The sequence below is a fragment of the Homo sapiens genome, chromosome X, assembly GCF_000001405.40.
Source record: "Homo sapiens chromosome X, GRCh38.p14 Primary Assembly".
Taxonomy (NCBI): domain Eukaryota; kingdom Metazoa; phylum Chordata; class Mammalia; order Primates; family Hominidae; genus Homo; species Homo sapiens.
In genome coordinates, this window is record NC_000023.11 from 108,385,320 (window position 1) to 108,412,735 (window position 27,416).

At 37.3% G+C, this 27,416-nt stretch overlaps 1 protein-coding gene across 15 annotated transcripts in view, besides 1 other annotated feature; it reads right to left on the reverse strand.

Annotated features, from left to right (window-relative positions):
* The window catches only part of COL4A6 (collagen type IV alpha 6 chain), a 283,845-nt gene that overhangs the window by 229,706 nt on the left and 26,723 nt on the right, over window positions 1-27,416 (reverse strand). The window lies entirely within an intron of this gene.
* Window positions 5,699-6,340: an enhancer, noted in NCBI's record as "H3K27ac-H3K4me1 hESC enhancer chrX:107634248-107634889 (GRCh37/hg19 assembly coordinates)". NCBI's record gives its function as "activates a minimal SCP1, AML or CMV promoter by ChIP-STARR-seq in primed H9 embryonic stem cells {active_cell/tissue: H9 hESC(primed)}" and the evidence as "EXISTENCE:reporter gene assay evidence [ECO:0000049][PMID:30033119]".

Below are 27,416 nucleotides of genomic sequence, written 5' to 3' on the forward strand. Positions count from 1 at the left end.
CTACAAAACATTTTTAAAAAGATATTAAAGAAAATCTAAATAAAAAACACGACTATGTTCATAGATCAGAAGGCAAAATCTTTAAGATGGCAATACTCCCTCAAACTGATTTATAGATTCAATAAAATCCCTATTAGAATCCCAGATGGCTTCTTTGTAGAAATTGATCAGCTGATTCAAATTCCATGGAATTGGTTGGTTTCCAGATTAACCAAATCAATTTTGAAAAATAAGAATAAAACTGGAGGATTCACATTTCCTCCTTTCAAAACTTACTTCAAAGCAACAATAATCAGGACAGTATGGTACCACTGTAAGGACAGAGATATAGATCAATGAAATAGAATTGAGACTTAAGACATAAACCCATACATCTTGGTCAATTGATTTTATTTTTGTTTCTTTTTTTAAATTATACTTTAAGTTCTGGGATACATGTGCAGAACATGCAGGTTTGTTACATAGGTACACATGTGCCATGGTGGTTTGCTGCACCCATCAACCCCTCATCTACATTAGGTATTTCTCCTAATGCTATCTCTCCCCTAGACCCCTACCCCCCCAAAAGGCCCCAGTGTGTGATGTTCCCCTCCCTGTGTCCATGTGTTCTTATTGTTCAACTCCCACTTATGAGTGAGAACATGCAGTGTTTGGTTTTCTGTCCTTGTGATAGTTTCCTCAGAATGATGGTTTCCAGCTTCATCCATGTCCCTGCAAAGGACATGAACTCATGCTTTTTTTATGGCTGCATAGTATTCCATGGGGTATATGTGCCACATTTTCTTTATCCAGTCTATCATTGATGGGCATTTGGGTTGGTTCCAAGTCTTTGCTATTGTGAACAGTGCCACAATAAACATACATGTGCATGTCTCTTTATAGTAGAATGATTTATAATCCTTTGTGTATATACCCAGCAATGGGATTCCTGGGTCAAATGGTATTTCTAGTTCTAGATCCCTGAGGAATAGCCACACTGTCTTCCACAATGGTTGAACTAATTTACACTCCCACCAACAGTGTAAAAGCATTCCTAGTTCTCCACATCCTTTCCAGCATTTGTTGTTTCCTGACTTTTTAATGATCACCATTCTAACTGGCGTGAGATGGTACCTCATTGTGGTTTTGATTTGCCTTTCTCTAATGACCAGTGATGATGAGCAATTTTTCCATACATTTGTTGGCTGCATAAACGTCTTCTTTTGAGAAGTGAATGTTCATATCGTTCGCCCACGTTTTGATGGGTTTTTTTTTCTTGTAAAATTGTTTACGTTCTTTGTAGATTCTGGATATTAGCCCTTTGTCAGATGGATAGATCACAAAAATTTTCTCCCATTCTGTAGGTTGCCTGGTAACTGTGATGATAGTTTCTTTTGCTGTGCAGAAGCTCTTTAGTTTAATTAGATCCCATTTGTCTATTTTGGCTTTTGTTGCCATTGCTTTTGGTGTTTTAGTCATGAAGTGTTTGCCCATGCCTATGCTCTGAATGGTATTGCTTAGGCTTTCTTCTAGGGTTTTTATGGTTTTAGGTCTTATGCTTAAGTCATTAATCCATCTTGAGTTAATTTTTGTATAAGGTGTAAGGAAGGGATCCAGTTTCTGCTCTCTGCATATGGCTAGACAGCTCTCCCAACACCATTTATTAAATAAGGAATCCTTTCCCCATTGCTTGCTTTTGTCTGGTTTGTCAAAGATCAGATGCTTGTAGATATGTGGTGTTATTTCTGAGGCCTCTGTTCTGTTCCATTGGTCTATATATATTTTGGTACCATTACCATGCTGTTTTTGTTACTGTAGCCTTGTAGTATAGTTTGAAGTCAGGCAGCATGAGGCCTCCAAGCTTTGTTCTTTTTGCTTAGGATTTTCTTGGCTATGTGGACTCTTTTCTGTTTCCATATGAAATTTGAAGTAGTTTTTTCCAATTCCGTGAAGAAAGTCAATGGTAGCTTGATGGGGATAGCACTGAATCTATAAATTACTTTGGGCAGTATGGCCATTTTCACAATATTGATTCTTCCTATCCATGAACATGGAATGTTTTTCCATTTCTTTGTGTCCTCTCTTATTTCCTTGAGCAGTGGTTTGTAGTTCTCCTTGAAGAGGTCCTTCATATCCCTTTTAAGTTGGATTCCTAGGTATTTTATTCTGTTTGTAGTAATTGTGAATGAGAGTTCACTCATGATTTGGCTCTCTGTTTGTCTGTTATTGGTGTACAGGAATGCTTGTGATTTTTGCACATTGATTTTGTATCCTGAGACTTTGCTGAAGTTGCTTATCAGCTTAAGGGGATTTTGGTCTGAGATTATGGGGTTTTCTAAATATACAATCATGTCATCTACAAACAGAGACAATTTGACTTCCTCTTTTCCTAATTGAATATCTTTTATTTCTTTCTCTTGCCTGATTACCCTGGCCAGAACTTCCAATACTATGTTGATTAGGGCTGGTGAGATAGGACATCCTTGCCTTGTGCTGGTTTTAAAAGGCAATGCTTCCAGTTTTTGCCCATTCAGTATGATATTGGCTATGGGTTTGTCATAAATAGCTCTTACTATTTTGAGATAGTTTCCATCAATACTTAGTTCATTGAGAGTTTTTAGCGTGAAGGGCTGTTGAATTTTGTTGAAGGCCTTTTCTGCATCTATTGAGATAATCATGTGGTTTTTGTCATTGGTTCTGTTTATGTGATGGATTACATTTATTGATTTGTGTATGTTGAACCAGCCTTGCATCCCCAGGATGAAGCCAACTTGATCGTGGTGGATAAGCTTTTTGATGTGCTGCTGTATTCGGTTTGCCAGTATCTTATTGAGGATTTCTGCATCAAAGTTCATCAGGGATATTGCCCTAAAATTTTCTTTTTTTGTTGTGTCTCCGCCAGGTTTTGGTATCAGGACAATGTTGGGCTCATAAAATGAGTTAGGGAGGATTCCCTCTTTTTCTATTCTTTGGAATAGTTTCAAAAGGAATGGTACCAGCTCCTCTTTGTACCTCTGGTAGAATTCGGCTGTGAATCCGTCTGGTCCTGGACTTTTTTGGTTGGTAGGCTATTAATTACTGCCTTAATTTCAGAACTTGTTATTCGTTTATTCAGGGATTTGACTTCTTCCTGGTTTAGTCTTGGGAGGGTGTATGTGTCCAGGAATTTATCCATTTCTTCTAGATTTTCTAGTTTATTTGTGTAGAAGTGTTTATAGTATTCTCTGACGGTACTTTGCATTTCTGTGGGATTGTTGGTGATATCCCCTTTATCATTTTTTATTGCGTCTATTTGATTCTTCTCTCTTCTCTTCTTTATTAGTCTGGCTATCAGTCTATTTATTTTGTTGATCTTTTCAAAAAACTGGCTCCTGGATTCATTGATTTTTTGAAGGGTTTTTCGTGTCTCTATCTCCTTCAGTTCTGCTCTAATCTTAGTTATTTCTTGTCTTCTGCTAGCTTTTGAATTTGTTTGCTTTTGCTTCTCTAGTTCTTTTAATTGTGATGTTAGTGTGTCGATTTTAGATCTTTCCTGCTTTCTCTTGTGGGCATTTAGTGCTATACATTTCCCTCTACACACTGCTTTAATGTGTCCCAGTGATTCTGGTATGTTGTGTCTTTGTTCTCATTGGTTCCAAAGAACATCTTGATTTCTGCCTTCATTTCGTTGTTTACCCAGTAGTCATTCAGGAGCAGGTTGTTCAGTTTCCAGGTAATTGTGTGGTTTTGAGTGGGTTTCTTAATCCTGAGTTCTAATTTGATTGCATTGTGGTCTGACAGACTGTTTTGTTATGATTTCCGTTCTCTTGCATTTGCTAAGGAGTGTTTTACTTCCAATTATGTAGTCAATTTTAGAATAAGTGAGATGTGGTGCTGAGAAGAACACATATTCTGTTGATTTGGGGTGGAGAGTTCTGTAGATGTCTATTAGGTCCACTTGACCCAGAGCTGAGTTCAAGTCCTGGATATCCTTGTTAATTTTCTGTCTTGTTGATCTGTCTAATATTGACAGTGGGGTGTTAAAGTCTCCCACTATTATTGTGTGTGAGTCTAAGTCTCTTTGCAGGTGTCAAAGAACTTGCTTTATGAATCTGGATGCTCCCGTATTGGGTGCATATATATTTAGGATAGTTACCTCTTCTTTTGCATTGATCCCTTTACCATTATATAATGACCTTCTTTCTCTCTTTTGATCTTTGTTGGTTTAAAGTCTGTTTTATCAGAGACTAGGATTGCAACCCCTGCTTTTTGTTTTTGTTTTTTTTTGCTTTCCATTTGCTTGGTAAATATTCTTCCATCCCTTTATTTTGAGCCTATGTGTGTCTTTGCATGTGTGATGGGTCTCCTGAATATAGCACCCTGATAGGTCTTGACTCTTTATCCAATTTGTCAGTCTGTGTCTTTTAATTGGGGCATTTAGCTAGTTCACATTTAAGGTTAATATCATTATACGTGAATTTGATCCTGTCGTTATGATGCTAGCTGGTTGTTTTGCCCATTAGTTGATGCAGTTTCTTCACAGCGTCGATGGTCTTTACAATTTGGTATGTTTTTCCAGTGGCTGGTACCAGTTGTTCCTTTCCATGTTTACTGCTTCCTTCAGGAGCTCTTGTAAGGCAGGCCCGGTGGTGACAAAATCTCTCAGCATTTGCTTGTCTGTAAAGGATTTTATTTCTCCTTCACTTATGAAGCTTAGTTTGGCTGCATATGAAATTCTGGGTTGAAAATTCTTTTCTTTAAGAATGTTGAATATTGGCCTTCACTTTCTTCTGGCTTGTAGGGTTTCTGCAGAGATACCCACTTTTAGTCTGAAGGGGTTCCCTTTGTGGATAACCCAACCTTTCTCTCTGGGTGCCCTTAACATTTTTTCCTTCATTTTAACCTTGGTGAATCTGACAATTATATATCTTGAGGTTGCTCTTCTGGAGGAGTATTTTTGTGGTGTTCTCTGTATTTCCTGAATTTGAATGTTGGCCTGCCTTGCTAAGTTGGGGAAGTTCTCCTGGATAATATCCTGAAGAGTGTTTTCCAACTTGGTTTCATTCTCCCCATCATTTTCAGGTACACCAATCAAACATAGATTTGGTCTTTTCACAAAGTTCCATATTTCTTGGAGGCTTCATTCGTTTCTTTTCATCCTTTTTTCTCTAATCTTTTCTTCTCGCTTTATTTCATTGAGTTGATCTTCAATCTCTGATATCCTTTCTTCTGCTTGATCATTCTGGCTGTTGATACTTGTGTATGCTTCACAAAGTTCTCATGTTGTGTTTTTCAGCTCCATTGGGTCATTTATGTCTTCTCTAAACTGGTTATTCTAGTTAGCAATTTGTCTAACCTTTTTTCAAGGTTCTTAGCTTCCTTGCATTGGTTTAGAACATGCATCTTTAGCTCGGAGGAGTTTGTTATTACCCACCTTCTGAAGCCTACTTCTGTCAGTTCATCAAACTCATTCTCCATCCAGTTTTGTTTCCTTGCTGGCGAGGCATTGTGATCCTTTGGAAGAGAAGAGGCACTCTGGTTTTTGGAATTTTCAGCCTTTTTGTGCTGGTTTCTCTCCATCTTCGTGGATTTGATGTTGGTGACCTTTGGATGGGGTCTCTGAGTGGACGTCCTTTTTGTTGATGTTGATACTATTCCTTTCTGTTTGTTAGTTTTCCTTCTAATAGTCAGGCCCCTCTGCTGCAGGTCTGCTGGAGTTTGCTGGAGGTCCACTCCAGACCCTGTTTTCCCGGGTATCACCAGTGGAGATGGTGTTCCTTCCTCTGGAAGCTTCGTCACAGAGGGGCACCAGCCAAATGCCATCCAGCGCTTTCCTGTATGAGCTGTCTGTCTGCCCCTACTGGTAGGTGTCTCCCAGTCAGGATAAACAAGGGTGAAGGGCCCACTTGAGCAGGCAGTCAGTCCCTTATCAGAGCACAAACGCTGTGCTGGGAGAACCGCTGCTCTCTTCAGAGATGACAGGCAGGAACGTTTAAGTCTGCTGAAGCTGCACCCACAGCTGCCCCTTCCCCCAGGTGCTCTGTCCCAGGGAGATGGGGGTTTTATCTATAAGTCCCTGACTGGGGCTGCTGCCTTTTTTTCAGAGACACCCTGCCCAGAGAGGAGGAATCTAGAGAGGCAGGAGGCCTTGCTGAGCTGTGGTGGGCTCTACCCAGTTTTAACTTCCTGGTGGCTTTGTTTACACTGTGAGGGTAAAATCACCTATTCAAGCCTCGGCAATGGCAGAAGCCCCTCCCCCCACCAAGCTCCCAGTCGACCTCAGACTGCTGTGCTAGCAGCAAGAATTTCAAGCCAGTGGATCTTAGCTTGTTGGGCTCTGTGGGGTTGGGACCCCCCGAGCCAGGCACCAGAGGGAATCTCCTGGTCTGCTGGTTGCAAAGACTGTGGGAAAAGTGCTGCATCTGGGCCAGGGTGTACTGTTTTTCCCAGTACAGTCTCTCATGGCTTACTGTGGCTAAGAAAGGGAAATCCCCCGACCCCTTGTGCTTCCTGTGTGAGGCGCTGCCCCACCCTGCTTTGGCTCGCCCTTCATGGGCTGCACCCACTGTCCAACCAGTCCCAATGAGATGAACCGGGTACCTCAGTTGGAAATGCAGAAATCACTCGCCTTCTGCATCAATCTTGCTAGGAGTTACAGACCAGAGCTGTTCCTGTTCGGCCATCTTGCCAGCTCTCCCGCCTCAGTTGATTTTTAACAAAGGTGCCAAGACCATTCAATGAGGAAGGAAGTCTTTTCAACAAATGGCGTGGAACAACTGGATATCCACATGCAAGAGAATGAACTCGGACTGCTACATCACACAATATGTAATAATTAACTGAAAATGGATCAAAGCCCTAAATGTAAGCGCTAAAACTATAAAACTTTTAGAAGAAAACATATAAATATTTAGGACCTCAAATTTGGCAATGGATTCTTGTATATGACTCCAAAAGCATGAACAACAAGAAAAAGAATAGAGTGGATTTTATTATAATTAAACATTTTCATACCTCAAAAGACACTATCAAGAAATTGAAAAGATAACCCACACAATGGGAAAAAATATTTGCAAATCATCTATCTGATAAGGAGCGTGTAATCTAGAACAGATAAAGAACTCTCACAACTGGACATCAAAAAGACAATTAACCCAATTAAAAATGGACAAATGATCTGAAAAAAAAAAAAACTGTTCTCCAAAGAAAATATTTAAGTGACTGATAAGCACATGAGAAGATGCTCAATATCATTAGCCATCAGGGAAGTGCAAATAAAAACTACAATGAGATACCACTTCACACTCATGAGAATGGATGTTGTGTATGACTTGGATCTTTGAGTCTCCCCAAAATTAGCATGCTAAAATTCTAACCCCCAAGGTAAGGATATTAGGAATTAGGGCCTTCAGGAGGTGATTAGGTCATGAGAGTGGAAACCTCATAAATGGTATTAGTGCCCTTATAAAAGGGGCCCAAGAAAGCTTGTTCATTGCTTCCACCACATGAGAACACAGTGAGAACACTGTCCATGAAACAGAAAGTGGGCCCTCATCACACACTGAATCTGTTGATGCCTTAATCTTGAATTTTGTAGCCTATAGAACTGTGTAAAATAAGTTTCTGTTGTTTATATACCACCCAGTTTATGGTATTTTGTTACAGCAACCCAAACAGACTAAGACAATGGCTATAATAAAAGAGATAACAAGTGCTGACAAAGATATGAGAAACTGAAACCTTAGTATATTGCTGATGGGAATGTATAATGGTGCAGCCATTTTGAAAAATAGCCTGGTAGCTCTTTAAAAAGTTTATGTAGAATTGTGATTTGACCTATCAATTTCACATCTAGGTATATACTCAAGAGGAAAAAAATGACCACACAATAATTTGTACATGAATATTCATAGCAACATTATTCATAATAGCCAAAAAGTGAAAAAAGAATCATAATGTCCTTCAACCGATGAATGGATAAACAAAATGTGGTATATTTATACATTGGAATATTATTCAACCATAAAAAGGAATAAAGTACTGATGCATGCTACCAATTAATGAACACTAAGAACATTATACTAAGTGAAAGAATCCATTTACAAAAGACTACATACTGTATGGTTTCATTTATATGAAATGCTCAGAATAGGCAAATCTATAGAGACAGAAAGCAGATTAGTGGTTGCTTGGGGTTTGGGGAGATAAAGTTATAGAGGGATCATTGCCCACAGCTATGGGATTTCTTTTTGAGCTGGTGAAAATGTTCCAAACTTGACTGTGGTGATAGTTATAAACACCAATGAATATACTAAAAACCATTGAACTATACACTTTAAATAAGTGAATTCAGTGGTACAGTATGTGAATTACATCTCAATAAAGCTGTCACCAAATAACTATAAAGTCATAGCATGGTTGAAATTATTAGGTTGGTGCAAAAGTAATTGTGATTTTCACCTTTAAAAGTAATAAAAAGTAACTTTAAAAGTAAACAACAGATACTGGAGAGGATGTGGAGAAAAAGGAACGCTTTTACACTGTTGGTGGGAGTGTAAATTAGTTCAACCATTGTGGAAGACAGTGTGGCAATTCCTCAAGGATCTAGAACTAGAAATACCATTTGATACAGCAATCCCATTATTGGGTATGTACCCAAAGGATTATAAATCATTCTACTATAAAGACACATGCACACGTATGTTTATGGCGGCACTGTTCACAATAGCAAAGACTTAGAACCAACCCAAATGTCCATCAATGATAGACTGGATAAAGAAAATGTGGCACATATACACCATGGAATACTATGCAGCCATAAAAAAGGATGAGTTCATATCCTTTGCAGGGACATGGATGAAGCTGGAAACCATCATTCTCAGCAAACTAACACAAGAACAGAAAACCAAAGACTGCATGTTCTCGCTGATAAGCGGGAGTTGAACGATGAGAGTGCATGGACACAGGGAGGGGAACATCACACACTGGGGCCTGTCGGGGTGTAGGGGTCTAGGGGAGGGATAGCATTAGGAGAAATACCTAATGCAGATGAGGGGTTGATGGGTGCAGCAAACCACCATGGCACATGTATACCTATGTAATAAACCTGCACATTCTGCACATGTACCCCAGAACTTAAAGTATAATAATAAAAGAAAAAGAAAAAGAAAAAAAAAGTAATGGCGAAAACTTCAATTACTTTTGCACCAAACCTAATAAAAAGATGGGAGGGGTATCTTTTGTAAATACTAATCACAAAAAAAGCTGGTGTGGCTATATTCTTATTTTTAGCCTGTTCATCTTTTCCACTAAAGCTGTTAGTTCCTTGAAGGCAGGAACCATATATAACTGGGTTATGAATTCCTAGCACCTAGCACAATGTCTGGCATGTAGAAGGCATTTATCGTCTACTTGTGGAATCACTGAATTGTTCACTGATCAATTTGCATTAAAAGTAATTGTAAATGCTACTAGCAACAATCTTACAGATGATAACAAAAAGCTAGACATAAAAGAATTTACACCATGTAATTCCATTTTTATGAATTCAAGAAGAGTCAAAAAGTAATCTATGGTGATAGAAGTTAGAAGCAAGTCTGGTGCAATTCTGGAAATGTTCTATATCTTGATCTAGGTGGTTTTATATATTAAGCAGAAGAGTTAAGTTTTTTTTTTATATTTCATTGAATGTATATTATTACTCAATAAAAATTAATAATAAAAATAATCCATATGAATACAGGTTCTGAGATTCTATGTTGCCATATACCACTTTCTCTAGGATGGTATACTTACATAGTATTCAGTGAAGTTTGTTTTTATATTAATGTCATCACCATTCCACTCCACCCCAACCAATTTACTATTGCTTGTCTTTGTCACTCAATGCACTACTGAAAGATCAAGGGCAAGAGTACCTTTTCCTAGCAAAGTTTATAAAGCTCTTCATCAAAAGCTAAACATGTGTTACTGTGTGATCTTCCACATGCTACCTCTGGAGCATCAGATTCTGACTCACAGTTGAAAGTTGAAATAACTTATCAGTTTGAGGGTTTATAGGGCTATTCTCTATGACAGCAGATCCTGTGTATACCGTGAAATGTGCCCCATCAGCCAAAGGAACTTTCTTTAGGTGAGAAGAAAAATCTCCACAGATAATATTTATCAATCTCAAAAGAAAAGAACTATAAGCAAAAATTACAATGAGTTGATGCAATAACTGCAGGTATCTCATGTTTTTCCTTAACCCAATATCTAGAAAACATTACAGCTTATAAAATATAAATGATTTGACTTTGGTTTATCCTGTCAGTCTTATTAAGCAGGAGAATCAACTTCCCATGTTTCCTTAACTTTTCTATGTGCCCTGAATTATAGTTTATATTTGCCTTTACAGTTTGCATGGCAATGTGAACAAATGTACTATGATTGTCCCTGTGGATGTTTTGCATTTTCTGAAACTAACTTCTGTCCCAAGGGTCTCTCACAAAGATAGTAAAAAATACATCTAACTAGCTTTCCCAAAGGGCTTCATAATAAGAGGGGCTGACGTCATTTTCTCTCCCAGTTAACCACCTTGTAGTTTTATGACGAATCAGAACAAGCATGATTTTTGTTCTTCATATACCTCATTTAAACATGGCTGATCCAGGACCGCTTTAAACAGCATTAAACTGTTCACTTTGGACATTCTACAGCCAATTTCTTTTTTGTGTTTAAGTGTTTTAAAATGTTAATTCTCTCTCCTTTTTCACGGTACCCTCCCTAAACTCTGGGAAATAAAACATATTAATAAATAATAACAAATAAAATTAGTAAATAAAAATAAGTTATTAAATAAAATAATTATATAGAATTATTAATTCTCTTTACCACACTGTCAACTGTCTGCAGAGTGGACAGAGTGGAAGTTGGGTAAAATCTGTTTTCCTCAGGTATGTGAGAGCACTAGCCTGTACCTGTGTCTCTTGCTGTTCACACATTCCTCTGTTGTGGAATTCAGGTCAGAAACTCCGTATCCCCCACCTCCACTCCTCCTCCTACTCTTTCCACCCTCCCTTTTCAAGGCCTCCCAAGAATGAATTCACAACCTTGGAATGAAGAAGGTGAACGAAACCTTTTCTTTTCTCATCTTAGTGTCTGTGCGCTGGTCTGGGTTTTCCCAAATTGAGTGAATTCATCAAATGTGTCGGGACAGAGGTGCTCTCTCTCATTAAGTGTACTCCAGCACAAAGGCATTTCTGTTATCTAAAGTCTAGGTCCAGTGCCTGAACTTCTGGTTGGATACCTATAGAAGCTCTGTTAACTCTTTCAGAACAGAAAGGTATGATGCAGCACTACCTGCCAGTGCTAAATAATCATTCCACAGGCTGTTGGGGAGATAACACTTCCAATTCAAAAGTAACGCAAGTCATGATGCACCTAAGATTTATAAAATGATGTCATTCAGAAGGTGAGTCACAGGAAGAGAGTTCATTCAGTGCTGACTGTGAAGTCAGGGAAGACAATCAATGTAATTTGACATGAGCTCCCTTTCTCTGCCTGTTCGATTTCTATGTCTCTTTCAAGGCCTAGCTCAAAGTTTCACCTGACCCAGGAAGGCTTCCCTGACCACCAAGGCAAATGCTGACCTCTCTTTCTCCTTTGATCACTTAGCACTTGCAAATGACATTTATCTCAAAATTATTTCTATTTGTAATGACTTTCTATTCATGTATATGGTGCCTCTCCATGCAGGTTACAACATTATTGAGAACAGAAACCTTGTCTTACACATCGTATCTTCCACAAATTCAGTTATACACACAGTAGATTGGGACTCTTCAACCAAGAAGATTTTCTCTCCTTCACTAAGCCAGGCCCTAAGTATTCTTCAAGATCCATTATAAATAAGCATATAATCTACATAAGAACAGTATGTTTGTTAATGTAAATGCAGTTTCAGGACAAGTCCCTCAACCCTTCCTTCTACTCAGATTGCTATACCCTAAGCCTATTCTACATAGAAATTATGAATTAGCTATGATGGTGATGATCTGTTCTTTGAGGCCTTCCTCATCCTCTCCAAAAGTGGGTTACTCACTTAACAATCAACAATTGTTAATGTCTTTATCATTTATTGCTTAAATATAGTCAGGCGTGCACTTTTGTTTATCTCTTTTTATGTCTTGTTTCTCAAACTAGTCATTAAATTACTAGGTGATTTAGACCAGCACATTCTATTTCTTTTTCATCTGCCACAGCCCTTGAATGCTGTATGCATTCAAGTAAGCAATAAAAACATGACATTCAATTAATGGAAGATATTCAGGACAACAAAAATATTAGGCAAAAAGAACAAGCAGAGAGGAGCCATCTAACTCCCTGAAAAAAAAAAAAACACATATGGAGAAGTAGGTATACTGATGTAATCATATCACAAAGACATTGTATGGAACTGATGCTCATTTGCAGTTTTTACTGATTAGTTAGATCAGTCTCTGCCTACACATGTAGGTCCTTGCTGTAGTGTTGTCCACCCTCAGTGCAAACACATCTTTCTATAGCTGATACCAAGCAAAGGAATTCCATTGAAGTCTGGTAGAAACTACCAATTAGACAAAAATGTACCTTTTTGAAAAGGCTAATTAGCTGACATTGTGGTTCAAAATGGCCAAGCAGATACTGAAGCACAAAATGGTTAAGCAGATACTTACTGAGTTCTTTTTACACTCAAGACCCCGTGTTAGACGATGTGAGAGTTTAGTCCACAAAACAGCTGACTATTCTTAAAATTATTGTTAAAGAGTAAAACACAAAGCCGTGAGCAATATATGTTAAAATAGTTAAAGCTCATTTGGTAGGTCAAAAAGTACTCGCCCCACCCTACCCTCACGGCAAGAACTGACTAATGATGAATCAATCTTCGCAAATCCTTGGCACTGCCCATCTATTTTAGGCATTATCAGATTCTGATTCTGAGTCACTTTACTTTTGCAATTACTTCTGCAAATTCCCCCTCATTTTATGTAAAGAATCAAACTCAGAAATCTTAGATCTGGGAAAGCCTAAAAGGTTGTCCATGGTTCTGTACCTTTTAAAATTTATGTGTGTCTGTGTGTTTTGGACATCTTCTCAGAACAATTCCTTAAATGCATAAACTAAACACATAACAGTGATTCCTACTAATTAAAGTTCAAGAACATACAGAACTGATCTATGGTGTCAGAAGTCAGGATGTGTTAGGTTCTATATTCTGTAGTGGTGGTAACATTCTTGTTCCTTGTTCTGGGTGGTAGTTATACAGTTCTATTCATCATGCAAAAATTCACTTATGATTCGTGCACTTTTCTAGATGGATGTTCTACTTCAATGAAAAAATTCAAAACTAAAATAGGACCTATAGGATTACCAAAAAAGTAGGTTACATTGAAATATAGTTCTATCCACAGACCGTTAAGGGATCGCCTTCCTTGATTAAGACCCTAGATTAAGAACCCAGAAAAAAGAGGTAGGGTGTACAGAGAGATATATGCTAGGAACTTCTCACTTCTAAGAGTTGACAATCTGAGAAAAAAAGACTGGAAAATTGCGAATTTGGAGAAACCAATAAGTATACTTGGTAAGAGTCAAACAAGAGGGAAAGACAAAAGAGAAAAGTGGCAATAAATACTTTGGCGCTAGAGTGTCAGGGCAGAATAAGCAGAAGGATGTGGAATCCATGCTGTAAGTAGAAGGCTGTGAAGTGTTTGGATAAATTGAAGGGAGAGCATCCTTTTTGTAGTATGGCCAGTCAAAGTCTTGGGAGGCATTATATCTATTTTGCTGGCCATGGTGAAGGAGGCACATAAGTAGGTAGTATGAAATAAAGCTGCTGACTACTGCTGGGTACAGAAGGGGAGGAGGAGTTGAACTTGGATTTCTCATAAATGAAAAACCATGCAAGAATTTTTAGCAAGGCAGTAATAGAGAGAATGCTGTTTTACGAACTCATTCAGTTTAATTTAACAAACACGTATGAAATGCCCACTAAGTTCAATGTACTATGTTAGATTCTGCCCTGGTTAATGGTCTCAAATAGACTCTAAGATTTTTTATTTTGTGCCTTTCATTAGTACTAGACCTATCTAATTTGTAAATTGTCCAATTACATTTACATTCTAGATTGGTATAAATTATACTGTAATTTCTTCAAAACAGCAACTCTTTAAATACTACAAATCAGGGAAAACTGGGGCAAAAAGACAATAGGATATGTTCCTATTTGGGTCAGGAACATGCCTCCAAGTTTTTAGTTGGATTGTTTCCAAGTGTACTGTTTGTGCAAGTGTTTTCCCTTCAGGCAATGTTCTTTTCAACACACAAAATGCTAGGGCTGGAAGGAAGATGAGACACCCAGGGAAAGCAGCAGATTTTAATCACCATTGAATAATCCAATGATTCATCCTAGTATATTTCATTATTAACCATTTTGAAAGTTTGATAATGCAAAGGGACTATAGAAAAGCCCATCTAAGAACATAAACCCAGATAATGCAGAAGCTTCCAAAATTCCCAGCCTACTCTGATTTTCCTACTTGTTTAACATGGAGATCACACTGAATTGTAAACTAAGTATTGTCAGTCTCACATTGAAAAAGACAGTGGAGATGGCTAATTTCAGGGAGTTTACTGTGTTCCTTTTAGTGCCTGAAAGCCATTCTATTGCTGTCATCATGACTACCAGTCAAGACATGCTTTATGATTTCTATCAGACTCTGTATTCAGACTACATGGCTGCCAATAAAACTTTTCTTTTCCGAAGGCCAGTACTGAGCCTCCTTTATTATGAGGTGAAGGTTTGTAGAGATTATTATTTGCTAGGAAAAAATGTCTTTAGACAATTCTCTAAGAAGTGATTTCTTTGCCCTCTTTACTGCTGGGCAAATATTTTGCTGTTACTACCCCCAGGAAATAGAAGTCTCTAGGTTTGTCATTTAATTCCGCTTTCTCCCTCCTTTCCTTCCCTCTCTCCTCGCTCTTTCAGAGTCTCTTAAAATAAGAGACTTCTTTACTACAATGTTAAAAACTTTGGCCATAAATCACATAAAGATGGTACTATCTCATTACTCATTTTTGCTTGTAATAGATTAAATTATCAGCATTTTAGTAGTCACACCCAGATTTTCATAGCTCACTTATTTTTGCTCTTAGCTCAAGGCTAGAGCTGCATCTCAGAGCAATGACAAAAGGAATATGCTTTCTATCTAGGGTCCAAATACAGCAGGGTGAAACTGCTGCCTCATCTCACCTGAACCCCAGAGAAAAATGCCTTTTGCAATTTACAATCTGGTTTCAGAAAATCTCTTTTCCAGCTCCCACTGTGAAAAAGGACAAAAGAAAAAGTCTTATCTTCTGTTTTTTGAAAAAGGCCCATGTATGTATGTATGTGTGTGTGTGTGTGTATGTGTATGAATGTGTATGTGTGTTTAAATATAAATGCACAGATAAAAGATAGCCTTCATTTCTTTATATAGTAATGAATTAAGCCTTTCTTTTACTCACGTTGTAAATATTTGCCCAAATGTGGCATTTGCCTACTATTTTTTCCATGAACTATTTTTGACACAAAAAATTTAGAAAGTGTTCAAAGGTATCAAGAATTTTCTTTAGCCTTTCAGGCTTTATAACATCCTTAGAATTTAGAAAGTCATTCCCTATTCCACACTTATATGAGAATATTTCTCTATGTTCTCTTGTAGAATTTTTCAAGGTTTTGTCTCTCACATTTAAGATTTTATTATACCCGATGTATATTGTGGTGTCTTGTATGCAATACAGATTTCACTTTTTCAAAATTACTGTCAACTATCTCCAAAAAAGCTGATTTGAGGTGCTACCTTCACTATTTATTAAGTTCATATATATATTTAGATATGTGTCTGAAAATAGTCATTTCTTGAGTCCTTAAAAATGTGCACATCCTTTGACATAGTAATTTTATGTGTAGTTATGTTCCCTAAGGAAAATAAGTAAGTATAAAGCCTCAGCTATAAAAGTGTTAATCACAGTATTATTTTCAAGAACTTAGGTTGAAAACAACCTAAAATGTGTAACAATATGGGAGTAAAATATAATATCTATTTAATATGATAAAATGTGGTCATTAATAGGTGATGTATAAGGCTGTTAGGGAGATTATATTAAATATATTCATGATACTGATAAATGAAAATAGGTTACGATAGCATAATATGTACAGTATGGTCACATTCCTTTACAATACAAATATATACACATACATAAAATCTATTGGAAGGATATGAACTGAAAAAGTTAAAAATTGTGGAATTATGGGTGGGTACTCTTACTTTTCTTCCTTATTCTTTTCTGCATTTTTCCATTTTTCTACAATGCAGGTATATTATTTTGTAATCAGGCAACATAAGTTTTATTTTTAACTAAAATAAAAATTTGCAGCATTTACATGTTAACAGGGAGTAACCAAACTGAAAACCAAGACCTAAAACTCACAGCTTATTGCTTTTAAAATGTTTCATCCACTATGGAGGTCAAGTGAATTGCCAGGGAGTTATCCATGTACTATTGTGGGGAAATCTCTCTACTGAGATGGGTATATTTTTCCTCCTTCAATCTATTGATATTGTAATTTGAATTTATGCATGTCTTAATGTTAAAACCACTGCTACATTCCTGAGATTAACCCAACATGTCATGATAGATTTTCCTTTTTATATCCTACTGGATTTACTTTCCTAGTATTTTGTTTAGGATTGTTACATTTATGTTCATAAAAGAAACTGGCCAGTAATTTTCCTTTCTCTTTTTGCCATTATCTTTTTTTCCCCTTAAAGTTATACTGATCTCATGGAATAAGTTGGTGGGGTACTCCTGCTTTTTCTATTCTCTGGAAAATCTGTATAAAGACTGAGATAATCTGTTTCATAAAAGATTAGTATAACTTTAACTACAGAATGCATTTCTTTAATCGTTATTCTTCTAAGAATTTGTCTATTTTATTTTAAGCAAAATTTAATGGCATAAAGTTGTTTGCAACATCCTCTTATCATATTTTCAATATCCAGAGCATATATAGTTATATCTTCTTTTTAATAGCTGATATTATTTGCGACATTTTTTCCTTGCCAGAGGTTTTTCAGTTTTATTATTCTTTTCAGAAAACCAACTTTGACTTTAATGATCCTCTCCGCTGCATGTTTGTTTTCTATTTAATTAATTTCTCCTCCTAACTTTTTCTTCAACTTTTTAGGATTTGTTCTGTTTTTCTTTTTCTAACTTCTGAAGTTGAATATCTATATCATTAATTTTTAGTCTTCATTTTCTTATTATAAGAATTGAATAACATACATTTTTCCATGTATAAATCTCATTACATGCTACAAGTTTTGATATATAGTATTTTTGTTATCATTCAATTCTAAAATTTAATTTTTATTATAATATTATGTGTGTTTTCAATGTCTAAATGCATAGGGATTTTGAAAATTATCTTTTTGTTGTTGACGTCATATGGTTAGAAAACATGTTCTAGACGTATGGATTTCTTTAAATTCTGTTGTAATTTGCTTTAGGGCCGAATACATGCTCAATTTTTATGTATGTTCCATGTCTGCTAGAGAAGAATATGTATTCTCTAACTGTTGGATATAGTGTTCTATAAACATTTACTATATCAAGCTTGTACTTAGGTTGTTCAAATATTCTATATCTTTGCTAATTTTTTATCTGCTTGAAGTATTCATAATTGAATGAGGTGTTTAAAAATCTTCCTCTAAGATAGCAGATTTGTTATTTTCTTCTTGCATTGCATTAAATTTTGCATTCCATTTCGATCGGTAAGTGATCTGCTTTCAGTGTAATTGTTGTTCTTCTCTATGTGATCTGTCCCTCTGCTGTTAAGATCTTTTTCTTGATGGTGTCCTAAAGTTTCACCACAATGTATCTATGCAAAGATTAGCTCTCTCTCTCTCTCTCTCTCTCTCTCTCTCTCTCTCTCTCTCTCTCTCATCTTGTTTTGGTATGTGTTGTATTTCCTGAATTTGAGGATTCATATGTTTAATAAATTCTGAAATATTCTTCATAATTATGTATACAAATAATACCTCTCCTCAATTCCCTCTATTATCTCCTTCTGGCGCTCTAATTCAATATGAGTTAAGTATTTGCATTCTGTGCTCCACATCTCTTATTTTTTTAATATTGCTACTCTTGTTTTTCTATCCCCATTGTAGATAATTCTAGATTTTTCTTCTAGTTCCCCAATTTGCTCTTTATTTTTGTTTTTAACCATTCACTGCATTTCTTATTTTAATAAATGCGTTGTTCAATTCTAGAAGTTCCATTTAGTTATTTTGCAGATTTCCCTAGTAACTCATATTTGTCTCTTTTTGTTTGATAGCTCATCTTTGGAATATATCCCTAGTTTTTTCAACACATCATACATAAATATTCTAAATAAAGCGTTTAGGGATATAAATCTGCTCATTATTGTTTTTGCTGATTCCTGTTTATGGTGACTTACTTCCTCAGTACTTGGTGATCTTTGATATTTGTGAATCAAAGATCTGCTTCATAATCTGCTGTAAAACTGTATATCTAAATTGGGGATTTTAAAATAATATTCTTGTCTGCTTGTACTGGAAGGGAAGAACACTATCGATCTGGGACCATTTGCTCTCTTTACGTGTCCTGATTTAATAAGGGGGTCTTAGATTCAGAGGCTCCTTCTTTGTGCCCCTCAACCTTGCTGCTATTCCAAGTCTTAACAATTGAAAGCAGAACTGCTATAGGCTTTTCCCCTCAGTGCAACTCCCATATTTCTGCACCTTGATCTTGAACTTCCCAGCCTCCAATACTGTGAGAAATAAATTGTTGCCTTTTGTAGATTACTCAGTCTGTGGTGTTCTGTTATAGTAGTGCAACACAGACTAAGACATATTATTTTAGTAAATAAAAATGACTACTTTTCACTTTTAAAATATACAAATCCTATTAATCTCTCCTGTCAGATGATGATAACATTGATTATCCTTATATGTTTGACTTCCAGGGACTTATTTATTCTACTGATAAATTCTAAACATGATATAAATCTTGTTGCTTAGTTATTAGAGTGGCATGGAGGGGAGACAGAGGATATCACTCCCATATACAAATTATCTATATCCTCGGTTTTAAAAGAAGCATTGACCAACATCCCTGCGGAAGTTTTGATTTGTAGAAATTTCATCCTTTAGGAATGCTAATTTTCAATTCACCTCATGTGTTATATGTGATCAGTGATATGGTTAAATTTATTCTAAAACATACATTAAGGCAAAAGTCTATTGGAGAACAATGGCTTCTAACTGTTCATCTCATCATATCCAAAGTCAGTAGCAAAATATTTAAAAATCTACCTTACCTGCTTCATGTACTCAATACCTCATCTGGCATGCATCTCCTAACAAATATGTATTCCAATTTCTCCTCTATTCTTTCATACTTAGTAATGTATGATGATTGAATGATGCTGAAGTGAGTGAAATAGAACTGAACACCAGCCATATATCATTGCCAATTTTTGAAATTGATTTAATCCCTTTCTTTTCACCAAAAGTAGAGTTTGAGCCAGGTATTCATCTTGAATATTTTGTTTACTATATTTAAATCAGATTTTTAGCACAATGGTTGTCAAACTTCTCTTTTTTAACAACAGCAACCTCATCTACCCCCCACACAAAACAAACATACAATGGAAAAAGAAACACACAAACACAAACACACACACACACGTAGAAGTGAAGCTCTTCTAATTAAAGCATGAGTGAAAGACTGCTCAGTCTATTCCTTATCCTCTGCACCTCCTCAGAAACCTGGCACTTTGAGAAGCAGTTTGAAATTTAGTATCATGGGTTTTTTTTGTTTTGTTTTGTTTTTGTTTTTGTTTTTTTTTTTCTTGAAGCGGAGTTCTCCCTCTTTCCCCCAGGCTGGAATGCAGTGGCATGATCTCGGCTCACTGCAACCTCTGCCTCCCGGGTTCAAGTGATTCCCGTACCTCAGCCTCCCCAGTAGCTGGGATTACAGGCCTGGCTGATTTTTGTATTTTTAGTAGAGATGGGTTTTCACCGTGTTGGCCAGGCTGGTCTTGAATTCCTGACCTCAAGTGATCCGCCCGCCTCAGCCTCCCAAAGTGCTGGTATTACAGGCATGAGCCACTGTGCCCGGCCAGAAATTCAGTATCATTGTTAACTAGGTTGTGAAGTCCTTTAGGTCAGGGCTTTCCTATATTTGGTGTAAGCACTCAAGAAATATTTATTAAATGTTGATGTTATGCCTGGACTCCATTATCAGATCTCTGTTCTTTTCATGCTACATTTTCTCCTTGAGTAAACCCATCCATTCCTATAGTTAGTTTCAACTATCATCAATATGCCCATCATTCCCATATCTATATCTGGGCCAAACCTCTACCAAGAACTAGTATTTCCAATTGCCTTATAATTAATTCCTCTTGCATGGACCAAGGGAGAGCAGGCTTCTCAAACTTACATCCAAAGCTGATGTCAAGTCTAACTCCTCCTAAATTTCTCCATCTTCCACTGTCATTGATATCACTAAGCAGGAAACCTAAGATAGACATTTCTTAATAATTCTTCTTTCCCTTACCCTATGTGCACTAAATTATGAAATCCTGCCAATTTTACCTCCTATTTATCTCTTTTTTTGTGGAGACAGGGTCTTGCTGTGTTGCCCAGGCTGGAGCACAGAGGGGTGATCTTGGATCACTGCAGCCTTGACGTCCTGGGCTCAAGTGATCTTCCCACCTCAGACTCTTGAGTAGCTAGTACTACAGGCACATGCCACAATGCCTGGCTAATTTTATTTTAACTTTTTGTAGAGAAGAGGTCTCACTATGTTGCCTAGGCTGGTGTCAAACTCCTGGACCCACACCATCTTCCCAACTTGGACTCCCAAAGTGCTGGGATTATAGGTGTGAGCCAGCGCACCAAGCCCATGAATCTGTTTTTTCCACTCCATTTCTACAATCCTCGCCCTTCCTCCTGACCTTATCTTAACCCTTTACTTACCAGACTTCTTAGGAAAATTGTCACCCAACATTTCTACTAACCTTCCGGTATCCACCATTATACTAGAATCTTCTAGTAGATCACTATCACTTACATGATACATTTCAGGCTTTTTATGTTATCTGTTATCCAAGGTCCTCCTTGATCTGGTACCTGCCTATTCTAGGCTTGTTTTTCATCAGTTTCTACCTGGCACTTCATGCCTCTCTAACAATGAACTACTTGGAGTTTTCCACACACACCATGCTGGTTCTTGCCCTGTTTACTTTTTACTTTTTAATTTTTGTGGGTACATAGTAGGTGTATCTTGTCCTGGCTTTATCCTCAATGCCGCAACCTATGCCTGAAATAGTCTTTCTTTCCATCCTCACCCCTTTTCCTGGATAACTCCAATCTATCCTTTAGGATATCCCACTAATGCTGCTTTTGGTGCTTCACTGCTCTGTGCTTTTATAATATACTTTGTATATTTCAATTAGACTGCCATGCAATAAATGTGAAGGCATTTTTTTGTGTGTGTCTGTCTTCCTTGCTAGAATTTTAACTACTTGAGGGCAAGAACTAATATGGGTGATGGTGATATAATGATTGTGGAAGGAAGGAAGAAAGAAAGGAAGAAAGGGAGGCAAGAAGTTAGAAGTTCTGTAATTCTTTAAGCAATGGCAATCTAAATTTGCCTTCTAGAACATAAGGACAGGTTGTATTAACAGCCAACTGCCACAGTTTTATGGCGTCTGTGATTTTACTACCAGAAATCTCAACTCTGGGAGCGAATTATATGTAATAGAACGGCTTTGTTATGACTGCTAATGACTTTTATATGGTTGCTAAAAGCAACTTTTATAACCAGAAACTGTCAAGTCTAAAATCAAATGTTTGTTGCCTCTCCCTTGAGAGATTAATGCTAAATTGCTTTCCTTCTTCAGAGGATATTAAGGCCTTCATAACCTGGAAGTTCCAACTGAGGAACTGAGGAACTCTTTACCACCAAAAGGTTGGGACTCTTGATTCAGGGGATAATTTTTAAAATTTACAGTAATGTTGGAGAAAATGTAGAGGAAGACAAAAAAGAAAATTTGATTTTAAATGGAAAGGTAATTAGGGGTAATAGTAAGCTTCTTTAAAATCTATAGACATGAACCTGAATATAATCTAAGAAATATTTTTTGAGCATCTGCTGTCTCAGGCAACAGAAAGAATACACAGATAAATAAAATAGCCCCTGCTCTCAAAGAGCTCATAATCTACCAGGCAATCTTTGCAGAAACTTGGTCAGACTTCTACACCAGTGGTTTCCAAATTATGTACTACAGGACCTAGAGTTAGTATCTGATAGAGATGGGCATTTAAGGTTAAGCATTTTACAATATTGTAAGATTGATTTGAAAAAGTGTTTCCCACCAAACAATGAAGATGAAATGAGCTAAGGAATCTACTTACCAATTTTCCTGCTGTATGATTTACGGAATTCAAATGGATTCTGCTGCTGATGGTGGTGGTGATCGCGTTAGTACCAGTTAGTATTTACTGATTGCTTATGTGCCAAGCATTCTGAAAAGTCTGCCAAATTCCTTAGAGACTTTACATACAATGTCTTACTTAACCCTCAAACCCCCCTGAGACAGGTACTATTGTGATTGCTATTTTACAAACAGGAAAACCAAGGCTCAGAGAAGCTAAGTAGGCCGGGTGGGGTGGCTCATGCCTGTAATCATGGCACTTGGGAAGGCTGAAGTGGGAGGATTGCTTGAGTCCAGGAGTTCAAGACCAGCCTTGGCAATATATTGAGAATTCATCTCTATAAAAAATTTAAAAATTAGCCAAGTGTGGTGGCACATGGCCTATAGTCCCGGCTACTCGGGAGGGAGGCTGAGGTGGGTGGATTGCTTGGGCCTGGGAGGCAGAGGTTGCTGTTTGCAATGAGTGGAGACAAGGCCACTGCACTTCAGCCTGGGTGACAAAGCAAGACCTTGTTTCAGAAAAGAAAGAGAGAAAGAAAGAAAGAAAGAAAGAAAGAAAGAACGAAAGAAAGAAAGAAAGCAAGCTAAGTAGCTTTTACCAGTCCACACAATTTTTTTTCTGTTACTATTCTTTTAAGCTTATGGATCACTTATTAAAACGACAAAAAATCTGCAGCCATTTGCACTTACTACAGAGATGTGAATTTTATTTTTCAATACTGTGTAGAAAAAAAATGCAGGATCAAGTTGAATTATACACCAACAAAAGACTACGACTGTCAATCTTAGTACCTAGTTTCATTTTTTTGTACTGAAAATAATATATAAATATCATGCATATGAACCTATGAAAAAACTCATGTTAATAAAATATGGCCAGGCACGGTGGCTCACGCCTGTAATCCCAGCACTTTGGGAGGCTGAGATGGGTGGATCACCTGAAGTTGGGAGTTCGAGACCAACCTGACCAACAAGGAGAAACCCCGTCCCTACTAAAAATACAAAATTAGCCAGGTGTGGTGGCACATGCCTATAATCCCGGCTACTCAGGAGGCTGAGGCAGAAGAATTGCTTGAACCCGGGAGGCAGAGGTTGTGGTGAGCTGAGATTGCGCCATTGCACTCCAGCCTGGACAACAAGAGCGACACTCTGTCTCAAAAAAATAAATAAATAAAATATTACTTTCATATACTTTATGTGTTGTGGTTCTGTATATGACTTCACTTGGATACAAAAGGGGTATGTTGCTGTTCAAAAGTTTTGAAAACCACCGGTCTAGATAATTGAAGGAGTAGATTCAGAAGTGAAAAGAGATGCAGCCTAAGTGAAATGTTCAGTATCTTTGACCTCCATAGCTGATAACTTTGTGGTTGTAATGCCTAACTTTTAAGCAGGTTGTATTTGTAGAAGACAATTACCTTGGATAGAAGTAACTTAGCCTGAGTATGTGAGGAGATGAATCTAGCAAACTGTTCACCCTAAGCTGTAGCCAATAGAGGTTCCCAGAGACCTTTCATAAAGGCCACAAAGATAGGAAGTTATTTATTATTTCGAATAATAATTATCATAATGAAACTGTGATGTTGGGAACAATTAGTAGCAACAATCAAGTGACTACTATGCTAAGTGATTTAAAACTGTTATCTCACTTTTTCCTCTAAACAATCCTGAGAGGTGAGTACTATTATTTTACCAGTACAAAAATTCAGGCTTGGATAAGTTCGAACAGGTAAAGTCACTTGTGCAAAGTCTCACTGCTAGGAAGTGGAAAAGCTGGAATAGAACCCAGGTCAGTCTAACATTACCTGCTGTGCTCCTAACAACTATGGCCAAGAGCAACCACCCTACAAGTCAGCTATGTAAAAGCTCCATTATGCTACCCTTTTAAATTTAAGCCCCTCAAAAGTAATAAGAAAGAATGGGAAGGCATCAGGCAGAGAATGGGTTGGATGACGAATGTCTTGCTGAAAGCTATGCCCCTCTGTAGGACAAAAGTGGTATTAGATGATCAAGGGTTGGGGATGGTCTTCATTTTTTCATTGAATGACTGAGTAGTGAAATCTTCTCCAACAATGTCTTCCCTAAGCTGGGCAGGATCAACCCTTCTGTTTCTCTCAAGCAGCTCATTCCAGGCTTGTCTCTTGAAGTCTTCCCCGGAATCCTCCTCCTATCATCCAGGAAAGAGATCCCCGGGAAGGTGAGAAATTAAAATTAAAGAATTTTTCAGGTGGCTATTAAGCAGCAGGTCTGAGGGTGTTTGGAAAGTGATCAGTATGTTTCCTGAACGTTCTTATCTCCAGAGTAGTGCCAAAAGTCCTGGAGTCAGTGAAATTCTCTCCAAACATGGTCTAGGAGGCCTAACAATGAAGAAGCCAGAGGAAAACATGATTGCATGGCCACTAAGTCAAGGACCCTTTTATCACTCCTTAGCCTCCATGATTTTGCACCACTCTGTTTTCTTGAATTACCTGATTAATCACTTTCACATTTATTGAACACCTACTCTGAGTAGAAGTAGTTTAGTGGGTGCATAGGTAAGGGCATGTTAAAATAATTCAGGCACTCAAGAGTTTTTTTCATATAGATAAGAAGGCAGACATATAAAACAGATAGATAATATCCTAGATGACATGGTAAAGGATGGCCTTTACCATGTTTTCCAGGTTAGATTGATGTACACTTTTCTAAATTAAATAAGCACATATTAATAACATTTGCTGTTTGGCAATAGTGGTTTCTGGATAAAACATGACATAATTGAGAAATCTCAAACTTTAAGCCTGTCTCTAGTCAATTTCTTTGCAAGTAGGATTGGGTATATCAGTTTAAAAATAATTTACCCCCCTTTCCCACCAATGTTATGGCCGTAAGAACATCATTAATATCATCAATCAATTAATATTTCTTTGACAACTGATTATCAACATTTTAGAGTACCCAAAGACTTGCTTTATCCCTTCCCCAGCAAGACTCCAGCCATTCATGACACTTAGGTACCCCATACTTCCATTTTCTCGAGTGACATTTTCACCAAGAACTCAATTTCCATCTTAAATGAGTGACAAATGAGTTATATTTTTCAAAGCAAGCTTAAACAGAGAATGTTTACTTCTTAACAAACCCTGCACCAGCCTACCTAGGATAACAATCATTTCCCAAGCTTTTAATAACTGTTATCTGTCTAGACATCAACTCATAGGAAGAAGGCAGAAATGCCTGTCAAAGGGTAAAACAATCAACATCTCAAAGATGAAGAATTTGGGCACAGCAAAGGTAAATGAAAAATGAATAAATTGCATTTCAATATGGTAATTAATGCATAAAAAAGATAGGATCAGAGGTAGGCCAAGGCAGGCACTAGTTAATGTCTTCTTTTAAAAATCTTGCCAGTAAATCATAATTACATACAGAAATCATGTCTTTTGTAAGAGCTACTTTTCACTTGGCAAGTGGACAATACCTTAAAAATATAAGGAAAAGACAGATAAGATTGATGATTATGATAGTAAGTTTACCCTTTAATTTCTTCTAGATGCCAGTTTATAGAAAGAGGTATGCAATTTTGTCTTGTCTGTGATAGGGAAGGAGGGAGTCTGAAATAAGATGATTTTCAAGGTGTGTGGGGCCTGTGTACATATACACTAGTATGTGGGAAATTGGCTAGAACCATGTGAGGTGAACAGGACAGACACTGTTATCTCCACTTTACAAATGAAGCAACTCAAGAAGAGTTGAAGTGAATTCCCTAAGGCCACAGTGGCAGGGCCAGAAGTTCCCCCCTAGTTGGTATCCAGTGAGTTTCCATTACTTTTGTCCCCTTAAAACAGAGGGTTAGATGAGGGTACTAGGTCATTTATTAATTTAATGTATTGAGGATATTATATTATATGGCAGGAAAAACAGAGAGTGAGATATACTTCAACTGCTTAGAACTGTAATTATCTGAGACTTGTAAATCCCGGGTGCTTGTGCATGCCAAAGTTGATGCTTAGAACATTAAGCTTTATTGCAAAACCTGGAGGCATTTCAAGTGCATCTCTTTAGTTTCATATTTTTTTCCTCTGGTGCTGTTTGAAGGGAGGGGTTGCTCGGTGTTGAGGATAGGGGTGGGATCAGAGGGAAGAAGAAAGAAAGGTTTATGGAAACTATGCAAGGGAGGCCATGGGGTGCCTGTTTTGCTGGAGGCTGCATTTCACAGACTAAAATAGGGATTTTCACAAAAGCACACCTAGATCTTACTGAAGAGAAGCACGAGATAAGCCTTATCAGAGAAAAAGAAAAGACACACAGGAATAACATTGTGTTTGTTTTAATAGAAAAGCATGAAATGTGTTCTGGGACCCATCCAAAATGCCTGCTCAATAAAAGGAGTAAAAGATAGTGTCATAAGATTTATAGGCTTATCTAGCTTTCCAAAAACAAGTATTATATGTAAATACTGGTTTATTCCTATTCTTTGTAATTACATTACTTAGAGAATATGGCACAACATAGGACAAACCAAAATTTATATTCTCTCAGAAATATTAGATACATCAGTATAGTTCACTGGCTGGAGTTCCTATATCCCTCTCACTGGAAATTTGAACATATAGTCTCTCACGCTTAACAAGTCTAAACTTATTGTGCAAAGACGCATTCTACTAAATCCAAGACTGCCATGAATTCATAAAGAAGGAAGAAGCATAGGTGAGAGGTAAGGATGCATCGCTGTCATCACATGCCATTTCAGGGGCCATTTTCTGTTTGTAGGAGATCTGTAAAGCTAGCACTCCACTCTACTGATGTTCCCACCAATTTGACAAAATAACTGAATGTCTTTGTCTCTTCTGTTGCCTTCCGGTACCCAACCACCTCAGGCACCAACTTCACTGAATTAAAAGGGAGCCTAGTTAACATGGGAAAGGTAGGATTCTGACAGCCAGTGTAT